At 40.5% G+C, this 23,191-nt stretch overlaps 1 protein-coding gene across 19 annotated transcripts in view; it reads right to left on the bottom strand.

Moving 5' to 3' along the window:
- IL1RL2 (interleukin 1 receptor like 2) overlaps positions 1-23,191 on the bottom strand; it is a 56,114-nt gene that overhangs the window by 13,740 nt on the left and 19,183 nt on the right. For 9 of the 19 annotated variants that reach the window (XM_017005174.3, NM_001351449.2, NM_003854.4 and 6 more), the window contains 4 exons: positions 17,173-17,247; positions 10,265-10,394; positions 9,330-9,466; positions 3,306-3,449 (listed from right to left, as the gene is read on the bottom strand). In XM_017005174.3, coding sequence (XP_016860663.2) covers positions 3,306-3,449; positions 9,330-9,466; positions 10,265-10,394; positions 17,173-17,247 — 486 coding nt within the window. Of the gene's footprint in view, positions 1-3,305; positions 3,450-6,738; positions 6,859-6,933; positions 9,467-10,264; positions 10,395-17,172; positions 17,248-23,191 lie in introns of those variants that run through there. The other 10 variants (NM_001351448.1, XM_011512093.2, XM_047446165.1 and 7 more) reach the window with 5 other exon arrangements.

Raw genomic sequence — 23,191 nt, 5'->3', positions numbered from 1 at the left:
GTCAGTCTGAATTTTCCAAAAGTAGCCCCAGCAATATTTCCAGTCCCACATGTTCTTCCAGAACTTTGCCACACCCTAGCAAAGAAGCAGAGTCTATTTCCACTCCCTTAAAATTGTTATGTCCTTCTTGATCTTGGCAATAATATATAAAAGCTCATTCACATAAATTCATATCTATGAAATACTGTCTAAAGATTATTCAATTCCCTACTTTCTCTCAATATGATATTGCTAAATTTTAGGCCTGATGAAACCAGAACAGTGGAAAATTCAGATTCAATCTGGCCTCCACGCAAATGCTTTTACTGAACTGCAGGAGGTTTGGTGGGTTTACCCCCAATATGCATAGAAAACACTAGAAGAAAAGCCACACAAAACACGCTATGACATTTACCATGGGAAAGTTGTTGCAGTCAAGCTTCCCTACACCATGCCCTTTTGAAATGAGGACTCCCTGTGGGGGAAAAAAAATCTGCCTTTGGAAATTAGTCTCAGAAAAAGCCATGTTCTCTCATGAAAATCTGAAAGGTTGTTGTGAATGGCACACAGTGGATCTTGTCATTGCCTTTGCTTTAGCTTGAAAAGCAAATTCACCTTTAATAATTGTTAAAGGTGTCATTAACTCTACCCCGACTTGTTTTCCCATTGTCCCCTTGGTTTCCCTTTGATCACTCTAACTGTTTGGCTTGTCTTCGTTTTAGCCATTCTATCCTACATGCACATTCTCCAAAGACCTATCTGGAGTAAGGCGAGGCATTTTCAAATCTCTCTAGGAGATCCGTGCACAGACCCTTCCATCCTCGTACACACATGCACCCCTGCCAGGAGAATTTGTAAAGCTCCAGTGGCTTGCTAGAGAAGATACAGAACTTGCTGACTTCAGCTAGGGCTGTCAATGGCTCCTTCTAAAATGGTGAGTCATGCACACCTAATTATTAATTGAGTGATACAGCTTAGCTAACCTAGTCAGGGTAAATGACTTATCCTACGAAGGACATTATTTCTCTCTTTCTCATTTTCATCCATTAATCGGTATTTCCTGATTTAACTCAGAAAATATCCTCAAGGGGAACAAGGACATAAACAAGATCTGGGACTAATCTCAGAATCTCATCAGTAGCTCACTGTTAAAGCCAACACACAGAGATATTACAGGGCAGTTCTCGTAGACAGAGCTGTAGAGAATTTCATCACAAAATGCACACATACTTTTCTGAATTAAGCAAAATAAAAATAAAGAAAAAAAGGACCCCTGGCTGCCTGTTAGCCTCCATCGCCAAATCCTCTGCCCACTGTTGCAGAATCTGGGCTGCGTCCCAGTCTCAGCAGAGGGCGGGGCTGCCTAACTCTCTCATCTGCCCAGCCCCCACTACTCCGTGTGAGTCACTATTCCTGTTTTCTCTTCCTGCTAAACTCGACCTCACTAGCAGCTTCCCCACACACTGCACAACACCCATAAGTCACAGCTATAGTCACGCTCCTGGGAGTCGCAATGACTCAGTGAGAGAGTCACTGACAGAGTCAGTGAGAGAGAGAGACAGTGAGAGAGACACACCATGGGGCCTGAGCTTCCAGGAAGAATACGTAAAGTGACGCAGGCTTCTGTTAGTCAAAAAGTAGAAAGCAACTGAACCACTCAACTCTGTGTCAGAAAACAATCAGTGGTGGGGGACTGAACTGTCTTCTTCTCAAAGACGCAAGCAGGAGAGAGCAGTCATGGGTGTGCTTAGACGGGGCGGCCTCTGCAGATGCCAGAGCCAAAACCAGAGACCCCCTCCCCATGCCCAGTCGGACTATCCACAGTACTAGCAGCACTTCAGGTTGCACTGGACACTTAAGGTTCAGATGACTTTTGTCATTAAAAAGGAGTTTATCGCTTTCTACATTGCTCAGGGTTGCTAATTCTGAATTCAGAAATTTAATTTGGAAAAAATCCAAGTTAGTGAATAGCCACGTTTTATCAAACATGTGGGCAACAACCGTACTGTGTATTTTATGTGCAAAGCAAGCACTTGATGCCAGTGACCTCTTTTATGTTTTAGCTGGCCCATAAAACGTTCTCAGACAACCAGTTTCCCTCCCTTTCCTGCTCTTGTCACTCAGGCCTCTGGACTTAAAAGGTATAAAGTCGTGCATCTCCACACAGATCAGCTGCACCAGGCTTCTTTTTTCATCTAATTAGGGGACTTTAGAGCAGATTTATTACTTTTGCAAGGCCTTAATAGATTGTATCTGTTCTAAGACAAAACAAAACAAAACAAAACAAAAGTAGCATAGTCACAAGCACCATGGTGGGAAATGCCAGGCTCTCAGAGAGTCAGGATCACACTGAGGCATTTCTATGCCAAACAGCACTGGCAGGACATAGGCCCACAGACTAAAACCCACAGCTGTGGTGTTGGGGATTTGTTTTGACCTCCAGACAAGCAATAGAGGCCGCCCTGTGGCCCAGGCCCCGCTGAATGCTTCCCTGTACTTCAACTCAGTTATTCCCACTGTCAAAAAGCAGGATTTAATCACTGTCCCTTTCTTTGTTTCTTTCTTTTTTCTTCCCTTCCTTCTTTCTTCCCTTCCTCCCTTCTCCTCCATCTCTCTCCCCTGCTTTCTTTAGTTTCTTTTCTACGAAACTCCCTTCTTCCCTCCGTTTTCCCTCCCTCTCTCCTTTCCTTCCTCCCTCTCTCTCTCTTTCTTTCCTCCCTCCCTGTCTCCTTCCTTCCTTCCTCTATTCCTTTCTATAGCTGAGAAATAGAAGAAAGTTAAACATCTTTCTAAGTTTACATAGGGAGTAAGTGGAGAAGTCACATTCAAACTTGGTTTGATCTCTCTCCATATCTGAGAGTTGAAGACTTAAATCCCTTCAGGCACCAAGTACAGGGCCTAGAGAGAGCTCCAACCGCAGGCAGCTCATCCCTCTCCATGACCCAGATTCTGAGAAAGTACCCACTGTGCTGAGCACACATCATGGATGGAGAGCACTTTGGTTTCGGAGAAACTTTCCCGCAGTGGACGGAGGATGGACGTGGAAACTTTTGTAACATGGTTGCAGCAGGACTTAGAAGATGATCTCCTCCTGCAGCTTAGCAAATATTTCCTCAATCACTACGAGCCTGCAAGCCTTATCTGACCAAATGATGCTGGTGATTAGGGACAAATCATTTCTCTAAAGCACAGGCAGTTCCAAGGAGATTCCTTTCCCTAAATTTGCCAACAACGTAGTAAAATATGACAAAGTATATTTGAAATCGTTGTATATGTATAAGAGGATACCAATTTTGAGGCATTTTTCAGTGATTACACACACTTACCTACTATGGTCTCTGTAGAATGGAAGGCACTTCGATACCAAAGAACAATGTCGATCTTAAAAATGTTGTATATGTACACAACAGACACAGCCACAGCCACCAAGGCGATAAGCCCTCCTATCAAGTAAGCTCGAAAATCCGGAGCTACAAATGACAGCAAAAAAATAATAATAATTATAATTATAATAATGAAACAAAGAGTCCATTATATACTTTACTAATACAGATCACATTATGAATGCCAAATGGAAAGGTTTTGGATGTCAATGAGGGCACTGCTTAAACATTTCTTTAAAGTCAAAAAAGTGGTATGGGAGCAGAATAATCTGATCTGCACCATGATTGTTAGGAAACAAGTCAGCTCCTGGGAACTTATACGAGTAAAAGTCTGCAGAGCCCTAGTTTCCGGTGGTAGACGCAGCATGGACCCAACTGGACGAGAACTGCTTTCAAAACACACACGTCCAGGTTCTGCTGAGTCAACATGAGACTGTCCAGAGGTGGCGCCTGAGTATGTTCATGGGGCACCTTCTCCAGCTGGTTCTGCTGCCCTTTCTTGATTACAATCATATTGTAACTGCTTTCCCAGCCATTCAAAGTTGAACAGCTGGACTCCCATCATCCTTAAAGAGCCAACAGTTGTCCCCTCTGGAAGCCAGCATGGCTGGCTCCACAAGACAGGCCAAGAGCCAAACTCTCACCTCATCCTTTCTGTGCCATTGATTTCCAGGCTGGGTGCCTGTGCGAGAGGCACAGTCTCAGAAAGAATGTTTACACCCTAGCCTGTTTCATGAGTACATTGCAGAGTAATTATGAGCCTAAGTGGTGGGCAGGAGATGGCCAAGGAGCAGAACCAGCTCCTCTGGAACCTCAAGTCCCTGAAAACATGTTCCTACACATCCAAGAAAAGGAACAGCTTGGCTTCTGCCTCACCGCAGCCCAAACCCATACCACCAAAGAAGACCCTCTAGGAAGGAAAGAATTAGAAAAGGGGAAGAGAGAGACAGGAAGAAAAGTCCTCCCCATTCTTAAAACCCACCTCACACACCACTTCCTTCTTCAGCCCTTTCCTCATCCTCCAGTCCTCACTGGATGGTGGGGTGGGCAGAGGAGGGGAGGAAGAGGGTTTTTTTTTCTGAGCCTCTAGAGCACTTTAATTTTAAAAAAATTTTATAGGTACATAATAGTTGCACATATTTATAGGGTATGTGTAATATTTTGACACAGGCATACAATGTGTAATGATCAAATCAGGGCAATTGGGATAACCATCACCTCAAACATTCATCATTTCTTTGTGCTGGGAATATTCCAAATTCATTCCTCTAGTTATACTGAATTATACAATAAATTATTCCTATCTATAGTCATTTTGTTGTGCTACCAAACACTAGATCTCATTCCTACTATCAAACTGTATTTTTTTCTTTTACCCATTAACCAACCTCTCTTTATCCCCGCTTCACCACTACCCTTCCCAGCCTCTGGTAACCACCATTCTTCTCTCTACCTTCATGAGATCAATTTTTTTAGTTCTCACAAATGAGTAAAAATATGCAATATGTGTCTTTCTGTGCCTGGCTTATTTCACTTAACATAATGGCCTCCAGTTCCATCCACTTTGCTGCAAATGACAGAATTTCATTCTCTTTTATGGATGAATAATATTCCATTGTACATCTATGACAGAATTTCTTTATCCATTCATCCATTGATGGACACTTAGGTTGATTCTACATCTTGGCTATTGTAAACAGTGCTGCAATATACATGGGAGTTCACATATCTCTTTAATATGCTAATGTCCTTTCTTTTGGGTATATAACCAGCAGTAGGATTGCTGGATCATATGGTTGTTATATTTTTAGTTTTTTGAGGAACCACTATAATGTTTTCCACAGTGGCTATAAAATACTCATTAAAGAGCTTATTGCCACCTGCCCTAGGCCACGCCGTGTTGTAAACATCTTGAGGCCCAAGATTTCTCATTTACTATTGCACATCTTTAAATACATGGCACAATAACTAAGAACACATTTGGTGCCAAAAAAATTAATTCATTGAGTAAGTCCCAATGCAGCCAGTATAGACGCACTGCACCACACACCGGTGCCCAATCCAATCCTGGGCACTTGTGAGAACCTCTCACTTCAATCATAAGACAGATCCTTCCTGCTTCCTCATCCTCTACTCTTCTTTGCCCTTTGTTATAATTCTTTCTAGGGGTAACATTGCCACCTCTCCCTTTGGGACGACTCGTGTCTGGGAATATTTAGTGTCTGTTTTGGAGATCTTGGTTTTGTTAACTGTCCTGATAAGAAGACCATGCCCACAATACTAATGAGGCTCAGAAAGCCTCTGGCACATAGACAGGAGTGATGCTCTAAAATTCTCGGGCTCTTCACTCATTGCCTTCGAGAGTACTGATGCCCTCTGCTCTGTAAACGAGCTAAAAGAGAATGAAATTGGAAACAGGACATCAATGAATACATTCAGAGGGACTCAGGGTTTTGAAATAGAAATAAATGGGGAGCCCACTGTTGATGTACTAGATGTCCTGTTAAAGGTTAATGGTGGTATTCACCATCTGAGTCATTTGACTACTACCAGCCTTCAACTGAGATGGTGAGTGAGCATAAGTAATACGCGAATTCACGGAAGAGCACACCCAATTTAAACAACCTTCTAGAGACCCTGCTTCAGAAAAACCAAATAAGATTCAAATCTGGAGGTGTCTTTAACAAACATAAGGAAGTCAAATGGAGAAGCTATAACCTTAGCTCTGTCCCCAAGTAAACCAACAAGAGGTTTGGATTTAAAAGGGTGAAGTTCCTAGGAACTCAGGACAAACAAAACTAAGTCAACAGAACCAAAATACTCTACATTTGAGATAAAATGAGCATTGCCAGGAACTAAGGGATTTAAGAAGCATGAGCTTAAAACAAAGGGGATAAAGGACTCCATCCCTCCACAAGCTTGACAGGTGTTAACTAACTGGTCACAGCATTAGCTCCTCTGAGCTTGGACTTGGCCTCAGAATCCTTCGGAACACAGTGCTTTCAAAAAGTTCAACAAGTCAGTATTGGGATGGAAATCGCTATTGGTCAGCTTCAGTCTATATTATTCAGTAAAGAACTCAAACTTCTAGGTTGGGACAGATTTAAGTTGTAACCACTTCAGGTCTCCTGGACTCTCCAAGGCTTCTTACAACAGCTTCTCTTTTCTCTGGGGTGGACCCTGAGTCTCTGTCTCTGGCCTAAGCGAGGCTGCATTTCTGCTGTAAGCCAATGGAAAGTCAGAAGGGAGGAAACGCCAGCAGGCTCTGCTTGGGTGAAAACAGGTTTTCAACCTGTCCTCACTGACCTACCGCACATTTCTGCACTTGTCTCAAACTCACCTACTTCATCACAATATGAGCTCACAAAAGACCCACCTTTGTCTCTGATCTGGCTCTCTGTTCTGTGGGGTAGATGAAGGTGACAACTGGGAAATGAGTGGGAACAAGTAGATCAGGAGGCCCTGAATGTCAAGCCGGGAGTTTCCATTTCATCGCCTATCAGTAAATATCGGTGAATCACATTGTAGAACAGTATGGCATTATATAGAAATGTTAATGACAGACTCTTACCTGGCAACTCTACTCTTCATGATATATCCTGGAGGGATGCCTCTACATGGGTACACAGACACACAAGCAGGAATTTCCATAGCAGTATTCTTTGTTAAGAGTTCCAAACTCAAAACAATGCAAACCACATATTTATAGCCCAGTGGATAAATTGTGACCTAGTTATTCAATGGACTAGGATACGGCAACGTAAATTAATGAACTAAGCTACATGCTATATCAGTGATACACTGATAAGCCCCCACACCTAAGAAAATAAAGCATACTATATACTTCTCTTAATATAAAACTCAAAAACAGGCAAAAATAAATTGTATTATTAGGACTATCAGCATAGATAGAAAATCAAAGAAACGACTTTCCTAAAAGTTGGGGGGATGATTATCAGGAGGGGAGGATCAGGGAAGAACATCCAGGAGTTTTTCAGGCAATGCATTTTTCTTAATCCAGGTGGTAGTTTCATGAGTGTTTGCTATACAATGACTTGTTATGTGATGTAGAAATTCTGTGTTCCTTTACCATATATGTGCATATGTTATAACACATATATGCATTATATTCCACAATAAAAAAGTATAAAAGAAAATTCCAGCTGATTCTTACAACAGTCGTGGAAGGAAGTCGCTATCCTCCTCATTTCCCAGATGAGGAGACATGGGCACAGAGAGGTTGAGTGACAATGCTGTCCTCACCCAGCTCCTAAGTGGACAAGATAGGATCTGAGCCTGAAAACCTGACCTTAAAGTGTAGGGCAGGAGTCACCCTACCATCCAGCTCGTTAGTGGGAATGGGCAGGAGGGGAGGAATCCACAGAGCTTGGCAACTCATTGGGTGTTGGCATGAGGGAGGATAAGGGAAGGCATAAAATGACCCCAGATTTTGAGCCTGAACAACGTGGAAGATACAGGAGTCCCACTAACAAAGGTAAGAAAAAACAGAACCAGGAGGTTGGAGAGTTTAAACATGCTTTCTGACATCAGCCAGTGTATCTGCAGTCCCTTACACAGCTGGAAACGCAGAGCTGTCATGGGGGAAGACAGTATACAGCTCAATATATGGAACCTGTTTGCACCTGCTCAGGAATGACAGTTGATGCCATAAAGGGGAAAGAGATTTGAGGGATGAGGACACAGAAAGAAAAGCAGCACAGATGATGAACCTCTTAGAGGTACCAGAGAGAGAGAGATGGCAAACACAAGACTGACTGGGGGAAAGTGATGGAGAAGGATGCTTTATGACAAAGAAAAGCCAGTGAGAAGAGAAAAAATGGGCAGTGGTGACAGATGAACCCAAGGGTCCTTCCACATGTTGCAACCCAAGAAGGATTCCCCATGTGCTCAGGGTGAGTAGAGGGTGCTGTGCTCACTCACAGTTAAGGCAGCTGAGGCCAGAACGACACTGGCCTTCAGGACACAGAAGTGAAGCAGAGAATGTGCACACCCAGAGCTGCAAGCTGCCACGCACAGATCCCTATTCACTGCAATTCTAAGGGAGGTAACGGGCACTTAGGAGGCCAGGAGCTTGGCAGGGGCAAAGGCACGATTGCTAACTCCATACAGCAACCACTGTGTTTTCTGTTAGGTTCTAGAAAAATATTTGGTGGGGCTTTAGCTTGATGTATGCAAGCATAGGTTTAACTGATCATTAAAGGACATCAGCAAATTCAAGTCCTCTCTCTTGCATGTAGCTAGCCACACACGTGCGTGTGCAAACACACACACACACACACACACATACACTAATGATATTAATAGAATCAAGAACAACTGTCTTGGTAAACCACACAGCATTTTGCAAGGTATTTCACACACCTCCCCTGATAGGTTACGAATTTAAAGTTGTTCTCCTGATTCTGGCTTCACCCTCCACTATCTTTTCACTGACTTTATTACTTCCAATGCATAATCAATTAGTTCTGTACGGTACTCAGAGTGCAATTCGTATACACACATTGAGTTGGAAGCCCTCCTGCTTAAATATCAGAATTCAGCCTCTACAGATAATTTTACAAAGTTCCATGGTAAAAATATACATAGGCATTTTGGCTTTATATCAAATTATTTATACTAAATCTAAAAGTTGAAAATCAAAAGCAAAACATTTGGCAATCACGCTTAATAAAGAAAAGCTTTTGTTTTCTTTCTGTTTTGATGTATAAAATCTGGATGTATTGAAAATATGGCACTTTCAAAATATACTGCAATAAAATCACAGCCTCACTCCAACAACATTATGAGCTGTTGCATGAGATTTTCCCTAGATTTCATACTGAGTTTGTCCCTTTAATATCACCCTCATGCCTCACACTGAGCATTTAGAGTCACTGCTCCTTCAGATGTGTTTCCTGGCCATCGTTTTGAACACTCTGAACAGTGTGTAACCCACTGGAGTATTACCTGGGAGCTGTAATATAATGTATGCTGTGGACACTCCAGCGTGGCACATGAAAGGAAGGCCATAATCTTCCATTTTCACTTCCAAGAAGGTGATGTTTACTGTGTACAAATTATGTTCCCGAAAAGAGACATGGGTTCTATAAAAGAAAAGAGTAAGTCATTAATACATGAGTCAGATTTACCCAACATATTTTATAATCTGTTTTCTGGAGATAAAGTGTTTTCTTTGAGAACACTTTGGGCCATCATGTTATCCTAAAAATACTTTGCTGACTGGCCCAGTGAGGTTTGTAGATTGTATATTCCCAAATTTGCATTTTCTTCTGCATGGTGACAAGGAAGTATGGTTCTGTTAGCTACAGACACCATTCTCAGCCCCAAAGGCCTTTCCCCTATTCCTCTCCAAGTATCCTAACTTATCCATACTGCGAGGCCCAACACAAGCTCTCCTGCCCTCTGACTTCATTAGTTTTATTTACACCACTCCATTTATACCACCATAACTTGAGTTTATACCCATTCAATTAGCTAATGATTATGCACTGTCTTCCCTAAGAGTCCCCATTGGCGCTTGTTTAGTATAGCAAAGAACTATACTACTATTTCTTTCTTCTACTGTTGCAATATACACATTTGTGTCATTTCCAGTGTTTGCTTTGTATGCCCGGGGCATTAAGCTTTGAAGGCCGATGGCTCATGATATAACTGAATGGAAATGGGACTAATTTTGAGTAGTAGCTAAGAGAAATGGATCTTACTGCTCTCAGGGATACCTGGTCTTTTACCATATCTCCCTAACTATGTGATAGGTGGGATTGATAACATGAATCATTGAGAGGCAAAAACAAGAGGAGAAGGCAGTAGTGATACCAGATTCACTTAGATGGAGAAATCCTTGCTAGCGTTTAGAGAAGTCAAAAAAGCAAAACACCTACTCCACCCCTTCTCTGATTCGTTTGGATTCATCATAGTAATCATCCACCAAAGTGTTATTGACTCTCCAGCATCGTAGATTTGTATTATCCTTGGTGTCTGTTACATTGCAGTCCACAATCAGAGTGGTACCTAAAAAAAACCAATATCATCAATATTCAATGAAAATTCTACAAACTTTCAAATTTGTTAACATCTGGATTACAAGTGCATCGTACTCTCGAGCCTCGAATACCTTTTGATTACCAGAAATAGCCCCCTAGGCAAATGTTAATCTACTTTTTTCTTTCCCTGGAGAGAGACCACAAGGGGCAAGTGGCCTTCCAGGACAACCATTGTAAAGGGACACACATGCATTACCAAACATCATCAGGTACACAAATGCTATTTCTACTCCTAGTAACACTAGCAAAGAACTTGACAGTTCACAAAGTATTTTATGCATTTTATCCTTCAGTCTTTGAATCTTCAAAACAATCTTACAAGGCAGGAAAAGGGGAGGGGCTATTATCCTCATGTTAAGGATGCAAAAACTGAAGTTCAGATAGATTGAGTGACTTGCCCAAATTAATTAGAGGAAGAAATGAAATATGAACTCTAGATTTCTAACACCAAATCCAGTGATATTTCTGCTTCACCAAATGTAACCCCCACCCTTTCCCTCTCTTTCCCTTATCTTGCCTCTACACACATTCACAAATTTCATCAATTTATAGTCTCAGTGGACTTTGTCCCATGAGCTTAGTAAATTCTAACATTCAAGGAGTGTTCTTTATTCTAAATGATATTTTTTTAAAAAATGATTGTGAAATATAACACACATGTACCAAACAGTATAGAATAGAAATATCAAGTTAATGAATTATCATAAGCAAATATCTGTAACACTTTCACCTCATCAAGAAAACAGGATATTGTCTGAATCCCAGAAGCAATGTCTTCTGTCCATTTTTTAATCAAATTATTTGTTGTTCTGTTTTTTGTTTTTTGTTTGTTTGTTTGTTATTCAGCTGTTTGAGTTCCTTCTATATTCTGGATATTAACCCCTTGTCAGATGCACAGTTTACAAATATTTTCTCCCATTCTGTAGATTATGTTTTCACTCTGTTGATTGTTTCTTTTACTGTTCAGAAGCTTTTTGGTTTGATGTAATTCCATTTGTCTATTTTAACTTTTGTTGTCTGTGCTTTTGAGATCTTATCCAAAACATCTTGCCCAGTCCAATGTCATGAGCAATTCCTCTATGTTTTCTTCTAGTAGTTTCATAGTTTCAGGCTTATATTTAAGTCTTTAATCCATTTCAAGTTGAGTTTTGAATATGTTAAAAGATAGGGGTCTAGTTTCATTCTTCTGCATGTGGATATCCAATTTTCCTATCACCATTTATTGAAGAGACTGTTACTTGTTTAATGTGTGTTCCTGGCACTTTTGTCAAATATCAGTTGGCTGTTGATTTGTGGACTTATTTCTGGACTCTCTATTCTGCTCCATTGATCTATGTGCCTGTTTTCATGCTAACATCATGCTGTTTTGATTACTATAGCTTTTTAGTATATTTTGAAGTCAGGTAGTGTGATACCTCCAGCTTTGTTTTTGGTTTTGGGCCTTTTGGTCTTTTTCTCAAGATTGCTTTGGCTATTCAGGGTGTTTTATGGTCCTATACAAATTTTAGGACTGTTTCTTCTCTTTCTGTCAAAATAATGTCATTGGTATTTTAGTAGGGATTGCATTGAATCTGTAAGTTGCTTTCAGTAGGATGGACATTTGAACAATATTAATTCTTCCAATTCATGAACAAAGGATATTATATTCAGTGCTGAACAAAAATAAAAACTGCTATCCAAGAATACTATACCCAGCAAAACTATCTTTCAGAAATGTAAGAAAAATAAAGTCCCTTCCAGACAAGCAAAAACTAAGGGAATTCATTGCTGCTAGACCAGCCTTACAAGAAATCCCTAAGGAAATGCTGCAACTGAAAGTGAAAGGGTGATAATTACCATCATAAAAACATGTGAAAACTAACCAGTAGAGATAAATTCAAAATCAAATTCAGAATATCTCAATTCTGAAATGGCGCTATGTAAATCTTTCAAGACTCTAGTAATAAGTTTAAAGGTCAAAATGGTCAAAAATAACTACAGACACAATTGGTTATTAAAGAACACGCAATGTATAATGATGTGAATTAAGGCAACAAAAGTATAAACTGTTAGGGGGACAATAAAAGTCAAGGGTATTTTTATGTGACCAAAGTTAAATTGTAATCAGATTAAAATAGCCTATTATAACCATAAAAGTCTTTATTTTAGCCTCATGGTAGCCACAATGATAGAAACTGCAGCAGATACACAATAAAAAGAGAAAGGAATCAAAGCTTAGGACTACAGAGAACCACCAAACCACAAAAGTAAACAAGAGAGAAAGAAAGAAGCAAAGGATCTGCAAAACAACCAGAATACAAATAACAAAATGTCAGGAGTCATGTTCTTACCAATCAATAATAATCTTGAATGTAAATGGATTAAATTCTCTAATTCAAAGACATACAGTGGCAAAATGGATTAAAAGAAAAAAACAAGAACCAACTATATGCTGCCTAAAAGAGACTCACTTACTCACTGACTCACAGTAGGTCCAGTAAGGATACATATACACGAAAAGTGAAGAGATGAAAAAAAGATATTCCATGCAAATGGAAAACAAAAGCAAGCAGGAGTAGCTACACTTACATCAGATAAAATAGACTTCAAGTTAAAAATTATAAGAAGAGACAAAGAAGGTCATTATATAATGATCACTAGATTGTTGAATTCTGTTGTTGAATTCTCAATTGCATTTATTTCATTCATTGAATTATTAAGCTCAGACTTCTCTTTGGTTCTTTTTTATAATATCTATCTGTTGAATTTCTTATTCAGATCATAAATTGTTTTTCTGATTTCATTAAATTATTTGCTTGTATTCTCTTGTATCTAGCTGGGTTTCCTTAAGATCATTATTTTGGATTCCTTCCTTTTCAGGCATTTAGCAAATCTTATTTTCTTTGAGGTTTGTTACTGGAGAATTATTGTGCTCCTTTGAGGTATCATGTTTCCTGTTTTTTCATGTTTCCTGTTTTTTCATGTTTCTTGTGTCCTTATGTTGATAGCTGCACTTCTGGTGCAACAGTCACCTCTTCTAATTTTATGAAGTAGCTTTATTAGAGAAAGACTTTTTCTGTAGATGCATCCTAGCATGTCAGTTGGATAAGGTATGTTGGCTTTGGTTCTAGACAGAGACAGAAGTGTAGTCTTCATGCAGTTTCTTCAGCTACAATCCACATCTGCAGTATCTTTGAGTGTCTCAGTGGCCTAGGCTGCAGGAGTTTGTACTGGCAGTGGCATGGCTTTGCAGGGTGCTGGGCTACCATGTTGGTTCTCAGGCCAAGGGTGTGTGTGCACACACAGTAGGTCCAATGGAAAAGGGGTGTCGTCTTGCCAGGTGCAGGGCTACTGGGCTGGTTCTCAGGATGAGGGTGAGTATGTACACCCTCATGGGTATGAGGGTGAGCAGAGTAGGTCTGCTGGCTAGGGAAAGCTTCCCCAGTTGTGCAGGACTGCCTGTCCATACAGGAAGCAGGGCACCATGTGCATTTGGGAACCAGGATCACAGTAATTTCATAGGGCCCATACTCTAAGTAACCAGGATTTTGGAGTTGTAGCCACCTGTATGAACATGGTGAAATGACGGGAAAGCATTGGGGATGGAGAGATGCAGTGGCTACTGGCCCCCAGAACAGGACTCACTCTAGCAGTAGCTATAATTCCAAGACAGTGGCATGATGTAGCAGCATGGGTCATAGGGGATAAGGGTATGCACAATGTAGTTTCCTGCACTGGAGCAATATAGCCATGAGAACTCCAGGCTGCTCCCCAAACTGGGCTCAGGACCTGTGAGGACTGCAGCTTTCTTCTGTAGCAAGAACTGCAGGTGTCTGTGGTAATAATGAAGGTGGCAGAGGCCTTCTGCTTACCTTTTCCCTGCAAAGAGAAGTTTCTCTTGGCTCCAAGTCAATCTTGGTGGGGGAAACAGAGTGACAGAGAAAGGGTGATTTCCTCCCCTCTCTATGCTGCCATCCTGGGTTTCTGTGCTCCACAGGGATTCCATCATTTCCATGCTGCACTCCAGCGCCCTCCTTCAGACACGCTAGTCAAAATGTAGCTATTTATTTTATATTTTGGCCCTTTTGTACGGGAATTAGTGCTAGGAGCCCCTAGTCAGCAATTTTGTTGACATACTAATAATCTCTATCTTTATAATATATTTTAATACTTACAAGGAAATGGCTCTTTTTTCTTCTATTCAATTTTTTCTTGGCTAACTGTTTCCAGCATTTTTGACAGAAATTTTAGACATGTTTTGACAAGTTTTAGGATATTTGGTAATTTAATTGGTATTATATTAAACTTGTATATTAATCTAAGAGAAATAACATTTTTAATACTGAGTGTTTCTATTTAGGAACATCTTTTGAAATTTCACTAAAACACATATTCTTTTATGTTCCATCTATAAAATGATAAAATGCTGCATTTTTAATCATGTAGGCAAGTCCTCCTAATTTCTTGTTCAGTTGTTCCTTACTGTTTTATTTCTTGTATTGCAATTGTGAATGCTGTTTTCCCTGATTACATAATATATGCTATTTCAGGCATGTAAAAATGCTATTAGCTTTGAATGTTTATTTTGTATTAAAATAACATTAATAAGAAAATGCTAGTGATTATAGTTTTTTACTTAATTTTCTCAAAATTTCTAAGTAGAAACCAGTAGATCATGTTTTAAAAGTTATGTTTATCTTCCTCCCTCCAAGACTTCCAAAACTCCTTCTCTTGCCTTTTAATTGTCTAAATACATTGGCTAGAATTTCCAAAGACAGGAGTAGAGAAAGAAAGTCAATTAAGAGAGATAAAACAGCCAAATTTGTCTTTTAAGACTATTCACATAATGAGTAATGTGTAGACAATTATCCTTTATTATAGGTATTATTATTTCCTTGAAAGTTTAAAAGAATTATCCTAAAAACATATGGGCCTAGAGGCATTTAAACAGATTTTATCTCTTACCATTTGTTGTTTTATATAAGCTTTCCCATATTTCTAATTTTTTTATATTTGGGTGTCTCTGCACTTTGGGGATTAGATTTGCTGGAAGTTTAACTTTCTCCCCAACCCCCACCTCAACTCTTCTGTTCTTAACCAACTCTGGGACAGATTCTATTAGTTTATTTTCCTTTAATAAATTCATTATTTTCTACTTCTATTCTTGTTGTTTAGTTGGTCCTTTTATAGAGTCAAATGGTTAGTTGTATATTTTAATTATTTCCACACTTACTAATAATAATGTTATTTAAAGATATAAACTTGTTTAGAGTTGGTCATATGCCATGAAATTTGATATGACGTATTCTCACTATCATTATTTTCTAAATATTCTTTAACTATGGCTTTGGCTCTCTAATCAAAAATGCAAATAATTAAGAGATTTTTTGTTGTTGTTTAAGTTTTTAAATTTTTCTTTAGTTTTAATAGACAAATAATAATTACATATATTTATGGGTACGATGTGATGTTTTGATATATGTTTATATTGTAGAATAATTAAATCAAGCTAATTAACAAATCCGTCACTTCACATACTTATTAAGTGCGATTATTTTATTGTTTTGGTTTAGATATAAATTTTTACATTTACTGTATCGTTATTATACCCCATGATCTGTACAATTTCCTCTTTTGGACTCTGGTTTTTCATAGATGTTTCTGAGAGTGATCTATGTATTAGACACATTACTTTTACTATATTCCTCGAACCATGTAGACTCTTACTTTCCTAGTAAATTTCTCAAAGCAAGAGTATGTTAAAATCTCCCCCTACAACTGAAACAATTGTGTTGTTTTGTTGTATTGTATTTCTGAGACTTTTAGCATTATATAGTTTGATACACTAAGACACATAAAACTTTCTATTTTGTGAGATCTTGAGATTTTTGTCTAATTTGCTTTTTTTTCAGATGTAATACAACATATTTATTTTACTAGTGATTTTTTTTGTTTTGTTTTGTTTTGTTTTGTTTTGAGACGGAGTCTCGCTCTGTCGCCGCTGGAGTGCAGTGGCGCGATCTCGGCTCACTGCAAGCTCTGCCTCCCGGGTTCACGCCATTCTCCTGCCTCGGCCTCCCAAGTAGCTGGGACTACAGGCGCCTGCCACCATGCCCGGCTAATTTTTTGTATTTTTTAGTAAAGACAGGTTTTCACCGTGTTAGCCAGGATGGTCTTGATCTCCTGACCTCATGATCTGCCTGCCTCAGCCTCCTAAAGTGCTGGGATTACAGGCGTGAGCCACCGTGCCTGGCCACTAGTGATTATTTTTTAATTTAAAAAGTAATTTGATGCCTTTTTATCTACTTAGATCACAAATTGAGGCAATGCTTATTGATCCTTTTCCATATAGATTAAGGAATATAACATCATAATTTTTTTCACTCCTGTAATATATCTTGCATTGTGAGGTAATATAATCCAGAACTCCTGGTCAACATTATTTAATAGTAGTTTTATATTATATTATGTATTGTCTGAAGAATTATTTGCATTTTCATTGCCTTTGCATAAACAGATTTATAATAATCATTTTGGGCCCATAGTCCTCATTGCCAGACTTCTCTGCTACCACAACTTTTCCATGCTTCGGCTCTCTGGTGTTTTATTTTGATTCCTCTCCCCATGAGCTCACGTATATCCAAAGCTGGAAACTGGGTGTGTATAGGATTTATCTTCATCCTTAACATTCAAAATATTCACCAGAATATGCAAACATAATGAGCTCTTCCCCTGGTGATTTCAATGGCTTCAATAATTTTACTCACCAAGCTGTACTTCAATTGAATGATTTTTTGGATAAATGATTTTAGGGACACTTCCTCCATATCCAGCTCTTTCTGCTAAGAAATCATACCCACAGGAAATTGCATTAGAATCACGTATGATACATTCCCAAGTACTTTGATGTAATAGCATGAAGCCCAACAGAGCAGACCATCAATAAGCTCTGGTCAAAATCTCACTCCATAAATACACATTTTCAACCAGAAGTAACTGAATTGCCAAAAAAGAAAAAAAAAATAAGCTAGAAGCTGAGCTATCAAGAGAGTTCATTTTGGCCATATTTTGGTATAAACCATAAACTATATTCTTTATAATATAAACTAATAAGCTTTTATAATAAAATCTCAATACTTAATAATCCAAAAACACTTTGCAGGCAGTGGCTATAGACAAAGGCCTGGCTTAGGTGCTAGCTTGAGAGAAATAGTAACCCTCTTGTTTTACCTTCAAAAAACTCCCTCATGCAGTTCCTGTTCCATGGCAACCATTAATCTGTTTCCTATTTCTATAGTTTTGTCCTTATAAGAATGTTATGTAGATGGAAAAATACATATCATGTTTTTGAATTACTTTAAAATAATCTTGGGAACTGGTGGGAATGGGTAGAGGTAAAGATGAAAAAAGTCTATCCAGAAGTTGATAATTGTCAAAGTTGGATGAGGGATCTGTGAGGGTTCATCATATCTTCAGTTTTCCTCTTCCTCCTCCAACTCTGCATTTCCATATTATTTTATATCCCGTCCTCTTCTACTATTATTCTAACTCTTTCATCCTACCACCAAACTTTAGCATTATCTCCCTGTATTGACTCCCTGGACTCCCTGCCCCTCAGTCTTTCTCTACTTCTTTCCTCTCCCATTTGTCTGCCAAAATTTAGCGATCACCTACTTAGTTCCAGTATTCCTCCTATATATTTGGAGTGGGATATGGAAAAGTTGTAAGAGAGGAGCTAAGAAAAATGCAAAAATACATATCTTTTATGATGGCAATAATAAATGTGCATTCCACAAACTATTTAAATGCAGCATGTCCCAAACAAAAGTTATCCCCAGCTTGTTAATGTATCATCACCCACTAGATCACACACATGTAAAATCCAGAAGCCATTCTAGGCAACAGCTTTTCTTTCACCTTCTTCAACTTGTCAATCACCAAATTCAACTACTTTTGCCTCCTCATTTCTCAGTCTGTCTTTTTCTTCACTTCTAAGCCTTCTATTTTCCATTATTTTCCTAAGCAATCTCATTCACACCCACTACTTCAAATATCATTTCAAGGCCAATGACTTTGAAGGTCATGTCTCCAGTCCTTCCTCTAAGCTCCATGCCCATACAGGCCATGACCTACTCTGGACCTCCACCATCCAAAGGCACCTCATACTCAACGTAGCAATGACCAAACTCATGATCTCACTCCTAAATCTGGTTTTCCTCCAGAGCCATTTTCCTTCACTGAATAGCATCACCATCCAGTCAATAGTGCATGTCAAAAAGCCTGGTTAACTTTTTTGACCTTGCCATATTTCTCCCCATATTCAGTCCAACACTAAATCTGTGGGTTTTACCTCTTAAGGTGCCTTGAACCCATCCATATCTCTCCATCTTCAATGACATCATGTTACCTGTGCCTTCATGCCTTACCTGCGCTTCTGTACCTGCACTTCTGATCCACCCTGGAATGGATCATTCTGTGCACAGCGGCCAGTCTGCTGTTTCAGAAATGAAAATCAACTCATGCTACTCTCCTGCTTTTGATCTGTCTGGCTGCTTGTCATTGTTCTTAGAATAAAATTCATACTACTTACTCTGAATTGCTGGTTCCTACTTGATCTTGGCCCCCGACTACTTACCCAACCTCATCACCTGCCATAATTTCTCTCATTCAGGATCACTCTAGCCCTGCTTTCTACTCTTCAGATACTCCAAGTTCCCTCTTGTGCCAGGGTCTTCACATTTGCTACTTCCTCAGTCTGGAAAAAAATCTCCCCAACTCCATCATCCACATAATGCTTCCTGACCATCAGCATCACTATTATCAGAAAGCTTTCCCTGAGCCACTGCTTTCTCACGAGGCCCTGGTCTGTTTGAGCTCAGATTTTTCCTTTCCTTCACGCTTTCATCTTCCCTATAATTACACATCTTATTAGTGAATTATCTGATTATTCTCTGCCTTCCTTTCAGCCTTCAAGCTTCATCAGAGCAGTGGGGGTGGCTGTTTTCTTCACCACCATGTTCTCTCTGCCTGGCACAGAACCTAGCTTTGTTCAGTACTCAGCAAAGAGTTCTTAAATGATTGCTTGAAGGAGAGCTCCCCCATGGCCTCTTCCCAAGTTGAGACTATCAGCACTCTTTTGGATATTTTATCAGCCTCCTAAGTGGTCTCCAAGCTGCCAGGCCCTCTTCAACTCTGGCTTCAAATCATCTCAATACTGATGTCTCCCATCACAAATGCAGCCCAATGACTCTGCATTTGCACCGTCCCAGGGCCCTTCAGTGGCTGCATGGTAAAGCCTATGCATAAACAGTCCCCTGGACCTTGCCCTGCTTAACTCCATGACCTCAGCTCCCACCCTCCCCACCCCATACTCACATAGGATCTAATGAAAGTCATTTTAGATCCAACATAAACATAATGCTTAACACTTCCATGCTTTGTCCTATACTGTTCCCTCTGTTCTCTCTGCCTAGAGACCCCTCCTCACCCTCCTTTACTTTTGTGAATCCTATTCATTCTTCAAAATTCAGCTGAGAACTCCTTTCCTCTTGGAAGCCTTCCCAGACCATTTGCGTGCCACCCACGGACCCTTCTTATTCTTTTCCTGCTCCGCAAACACTGTCTGTGGCTCTACCCTTAGCACATAATGTTAAAATGATCCATTTAACCCCTAGATTCACCATCACCATGTCTGACAGTTTCATAGTAGAAGAAACAATGCTTTTCACTTTTGAATTATCAGGACCTTCCATAATACTGGCATATAACAGATCATAAATAAATGTTTATTGAACATGAAGTAGTGACTACTGAACCCAGTTACTTCTTAAGGGATTCTTCATTTTACCTGAGCAATTTCACCTTACAAAATTTCCCCTCAGTTACCAATGTAACATTAATGCATTATAGTAGTCAATCATTCACTTAATAAATAGATCTGTGCCTAGTCTAGGCCAGGCACTGGGCTCAGGGCCAGGGATTCAACTGTGAACAAGATGAGGCAGGTGCTTTCTTTCAGAGAGATAATGGTCAGCAGAAAACCCAAGAGCAGGAAAATCAAAAAAACCTTGTACAATTAATTTTCTTAATGACTGTGCTTTTAGCATGAACAATTAAAATTGAAAACCACCCCAAAATATTTAAATCAAATGAGCAGTTGCTGCAAAGAACATAGGAGGACTAGAACGGGCTCTCTAGAAGAACAGCTGGAATTCAGGGAGTCACTGGACTGTACAGAGTAAAGGGCCCTGTCCTGCATAGGCAGCAGGGAGCCACCCATGCTGACCAGATCCCCATAGGGATCCACACCACCCAGAAATAGCTCAGTCTCCCCTAGTACTCTGAAGTGTGATGGAAACTAGTGACAAATAGGAAGGTCTACATCAAAGAAGTATCCAGCCTTTAGTTCTTCTCATCTAGATGAGTAAATATAGAAAACAACTTTCTACTAAAGAAAGAGCAAAAGCCACCACAGCAGGAACTCCTTGTCCAGTGTGTTTGGAAAAACCAATGCTGGCCTGGGCATTGAATGCCAGAGCTCTGGCTCTGTTTCTGACAATAACCAGGTTTGTGACCTTGAATAAGTTGCTCCCCTCCTGGAACTCTGTAAAATGTATAGCTTGGGGAGAGAATGTGGAACAAGATGGCAGAATAGAAGAATCCGCCAATTGTCTCCCCTACAAGGACACCAAGTTAACAACCATCTACACAGAAGAAACACCTTCATAAGAACCAAAAATCACTCATAGTATCTGGTTTTAAATCTGTATCACAGAAAAGGACACCAATGAGATAGAAAAAGCAGTCCTCAATCACCAATGCCACTCTCGCCAACCCCTGACAGTGGCGGCATGGTACTGAGAGTGTCTCTGGTTGCTGGAGGAGAAAGGACACCACAATTGTGAGGCACTGAACTCAATGCTGACTTGTTAGAACAGAAAGGAAAACTGGACCAAACTCAGCTGCCACGGGCTCATGGAGGGAACATTTAAACCAGCCCTAGACAGAGGGAATTGTTAATCCCAGTGATCAGAACTTGAGTTCCTGTAAATCTTACCACCACAAGCTAAAGTGCTCTGGGTCTCTAAGTAAACTTGAGAGGCAGTCTGGGCCACAGGGACTGCAACTCTTAGGTGAGTCCTAGTGCTGCCCAGAGACGGTGGACTGGAGTGGGACATGCAATATACCTCAGTATTCCCATCTAGGGCAGCCAAGGGAGTGTGGGCATCACCCCTCTTTATCACCCCAGACTGCACACCTTGCAGCTATAAAAGAGACGCTTTCCTTCTGCTTAAGGAGAGGAGAGGGAAGAGCGGAGAGGACTTCACTTGCATCTTGGATGCCAGCTCAGCCACAGCAAGAGAGAACAATGATCAGAGTCATGAAGCCCCTGTTCCAGGCCTCCCAGATAACATTTACAGACATACCATGGGCCAGAAGGGGACCCGCTGCCTTGACGGAAAGGATTCAGTCCTTGCAGCATTCATCACCTGCTAACTTAAGAGTCCTTGTGCCATGAATAATCAGTAGCAATTATCCAGGTATTACATTGAATGCCTTGGGTGAGCATCTGAAACTTGCTGGCTTTAGGTGAGACTGAGCACATTATTAGCTGCAGTGATTATAGGGCAAAACTCCTTTTGCTTGAGAAAAGCAGAAGGAAAAGTTTGTCTTGCACTTCAGGTACTAGCATAGCCACAGGGGAGGGTAGGTCATGAAGCAGGCTCTTGAGGTCCCTGATTCTGGGACTTGAATCTTGGATGGCACTTCTGCACATGCCCTGGGCCAGAAGGGAGCCCAGTGCCCTGAAGAGTGAGTCCCAGGAAGGCAGCATTTGCCACAAGCTGACTTAAGAGCTCTTGGACCTTAAGGGAAAATCTGCGGTAGTCTGGCAGTACTCCTTGTGGCCGGCTGTGGCACTGGCTATGGATGCTGAGGCTCCTCTGCCTTTGGAAAGGGGAGGGAAGAGTGGGAAGGACTACGTCTTGTGGTTTGACTGCCAGCTCAGCTGCAGTACAAAAAAACACTTGGTAGACTTCTAAGGTTTGTTTACTCTAATCCCTCACTCCTAGATGGCACCTCTGGATCCACCCAGGGCCTGAGAGACCTTGCCAGTGGCAATCAGCCATGATGGGAGGGACACAGGCCTGGCTGGCTTTGCCACCGGCTGATTGTAGAGCACCAGGGCCTAAAGCAAACATAAGCAGTAGCCAGGGAGTGGGTAAAGCAGGCCTTGGGCAAGACCCAGCGCTGTGCTGGCTTCAGGTCTGACCCAGCAGTCCTAGTGGTCATGGCCAAAGTGGTGCCTGTGTCACTCCACCATCAGCTTTAGGTGGCTCAGAACAGACAGACAGACTCTGTTTGTTTGGGAGAAAGTAAGGGAAGAGAACAAGTCTCTGCCTGATATCTAGAGAATTCTCCCAGATATTGTCCAAGATCATCAAGGTGGTACCTCTACAGGTCTGCAAGAACCACAGCATTACTGGGCTTAGGGTGCCCCCTAAAGCAGATACAGCTTTGATCGAAACACTCAAATCCTTTGGAAGGCCTTCCCAAGAAGGACAAGTACAAATAAGTCCAGAGAGTGAAGACTACAATAAATACCTAACTTTTAAATGCCCAGACACTGAAGAACATCTACTAGCATCAACACCATCCAGGAAAACATGACCTCCTCAAATGAATTAAATAAGGCACCAGGGGCCAATCCTGAAGGAACAGAGATATGTGATGTTTCAGTCAGAGAATTCAAAATAGCTGTGTTGAGGAAACGCAAAGAAATTCAAG

Source organism: Homo sapiens, chromosome 2 (assembly GCF_000001405.40).
Source record: "Homo sapiens chromosome 2, GRCh38.p14 Primary Assembly".
Taxonomy (NCBI): Eukaryota; Metazoa; Chordata; class Mammalia; order Primates; family Hominidae; genus Homo; species Homo sapiens.
Note: the sequence above shows the minus strand (reverse complement) of the source record. Positions and strands in the feature narration are given on the sequence as shown.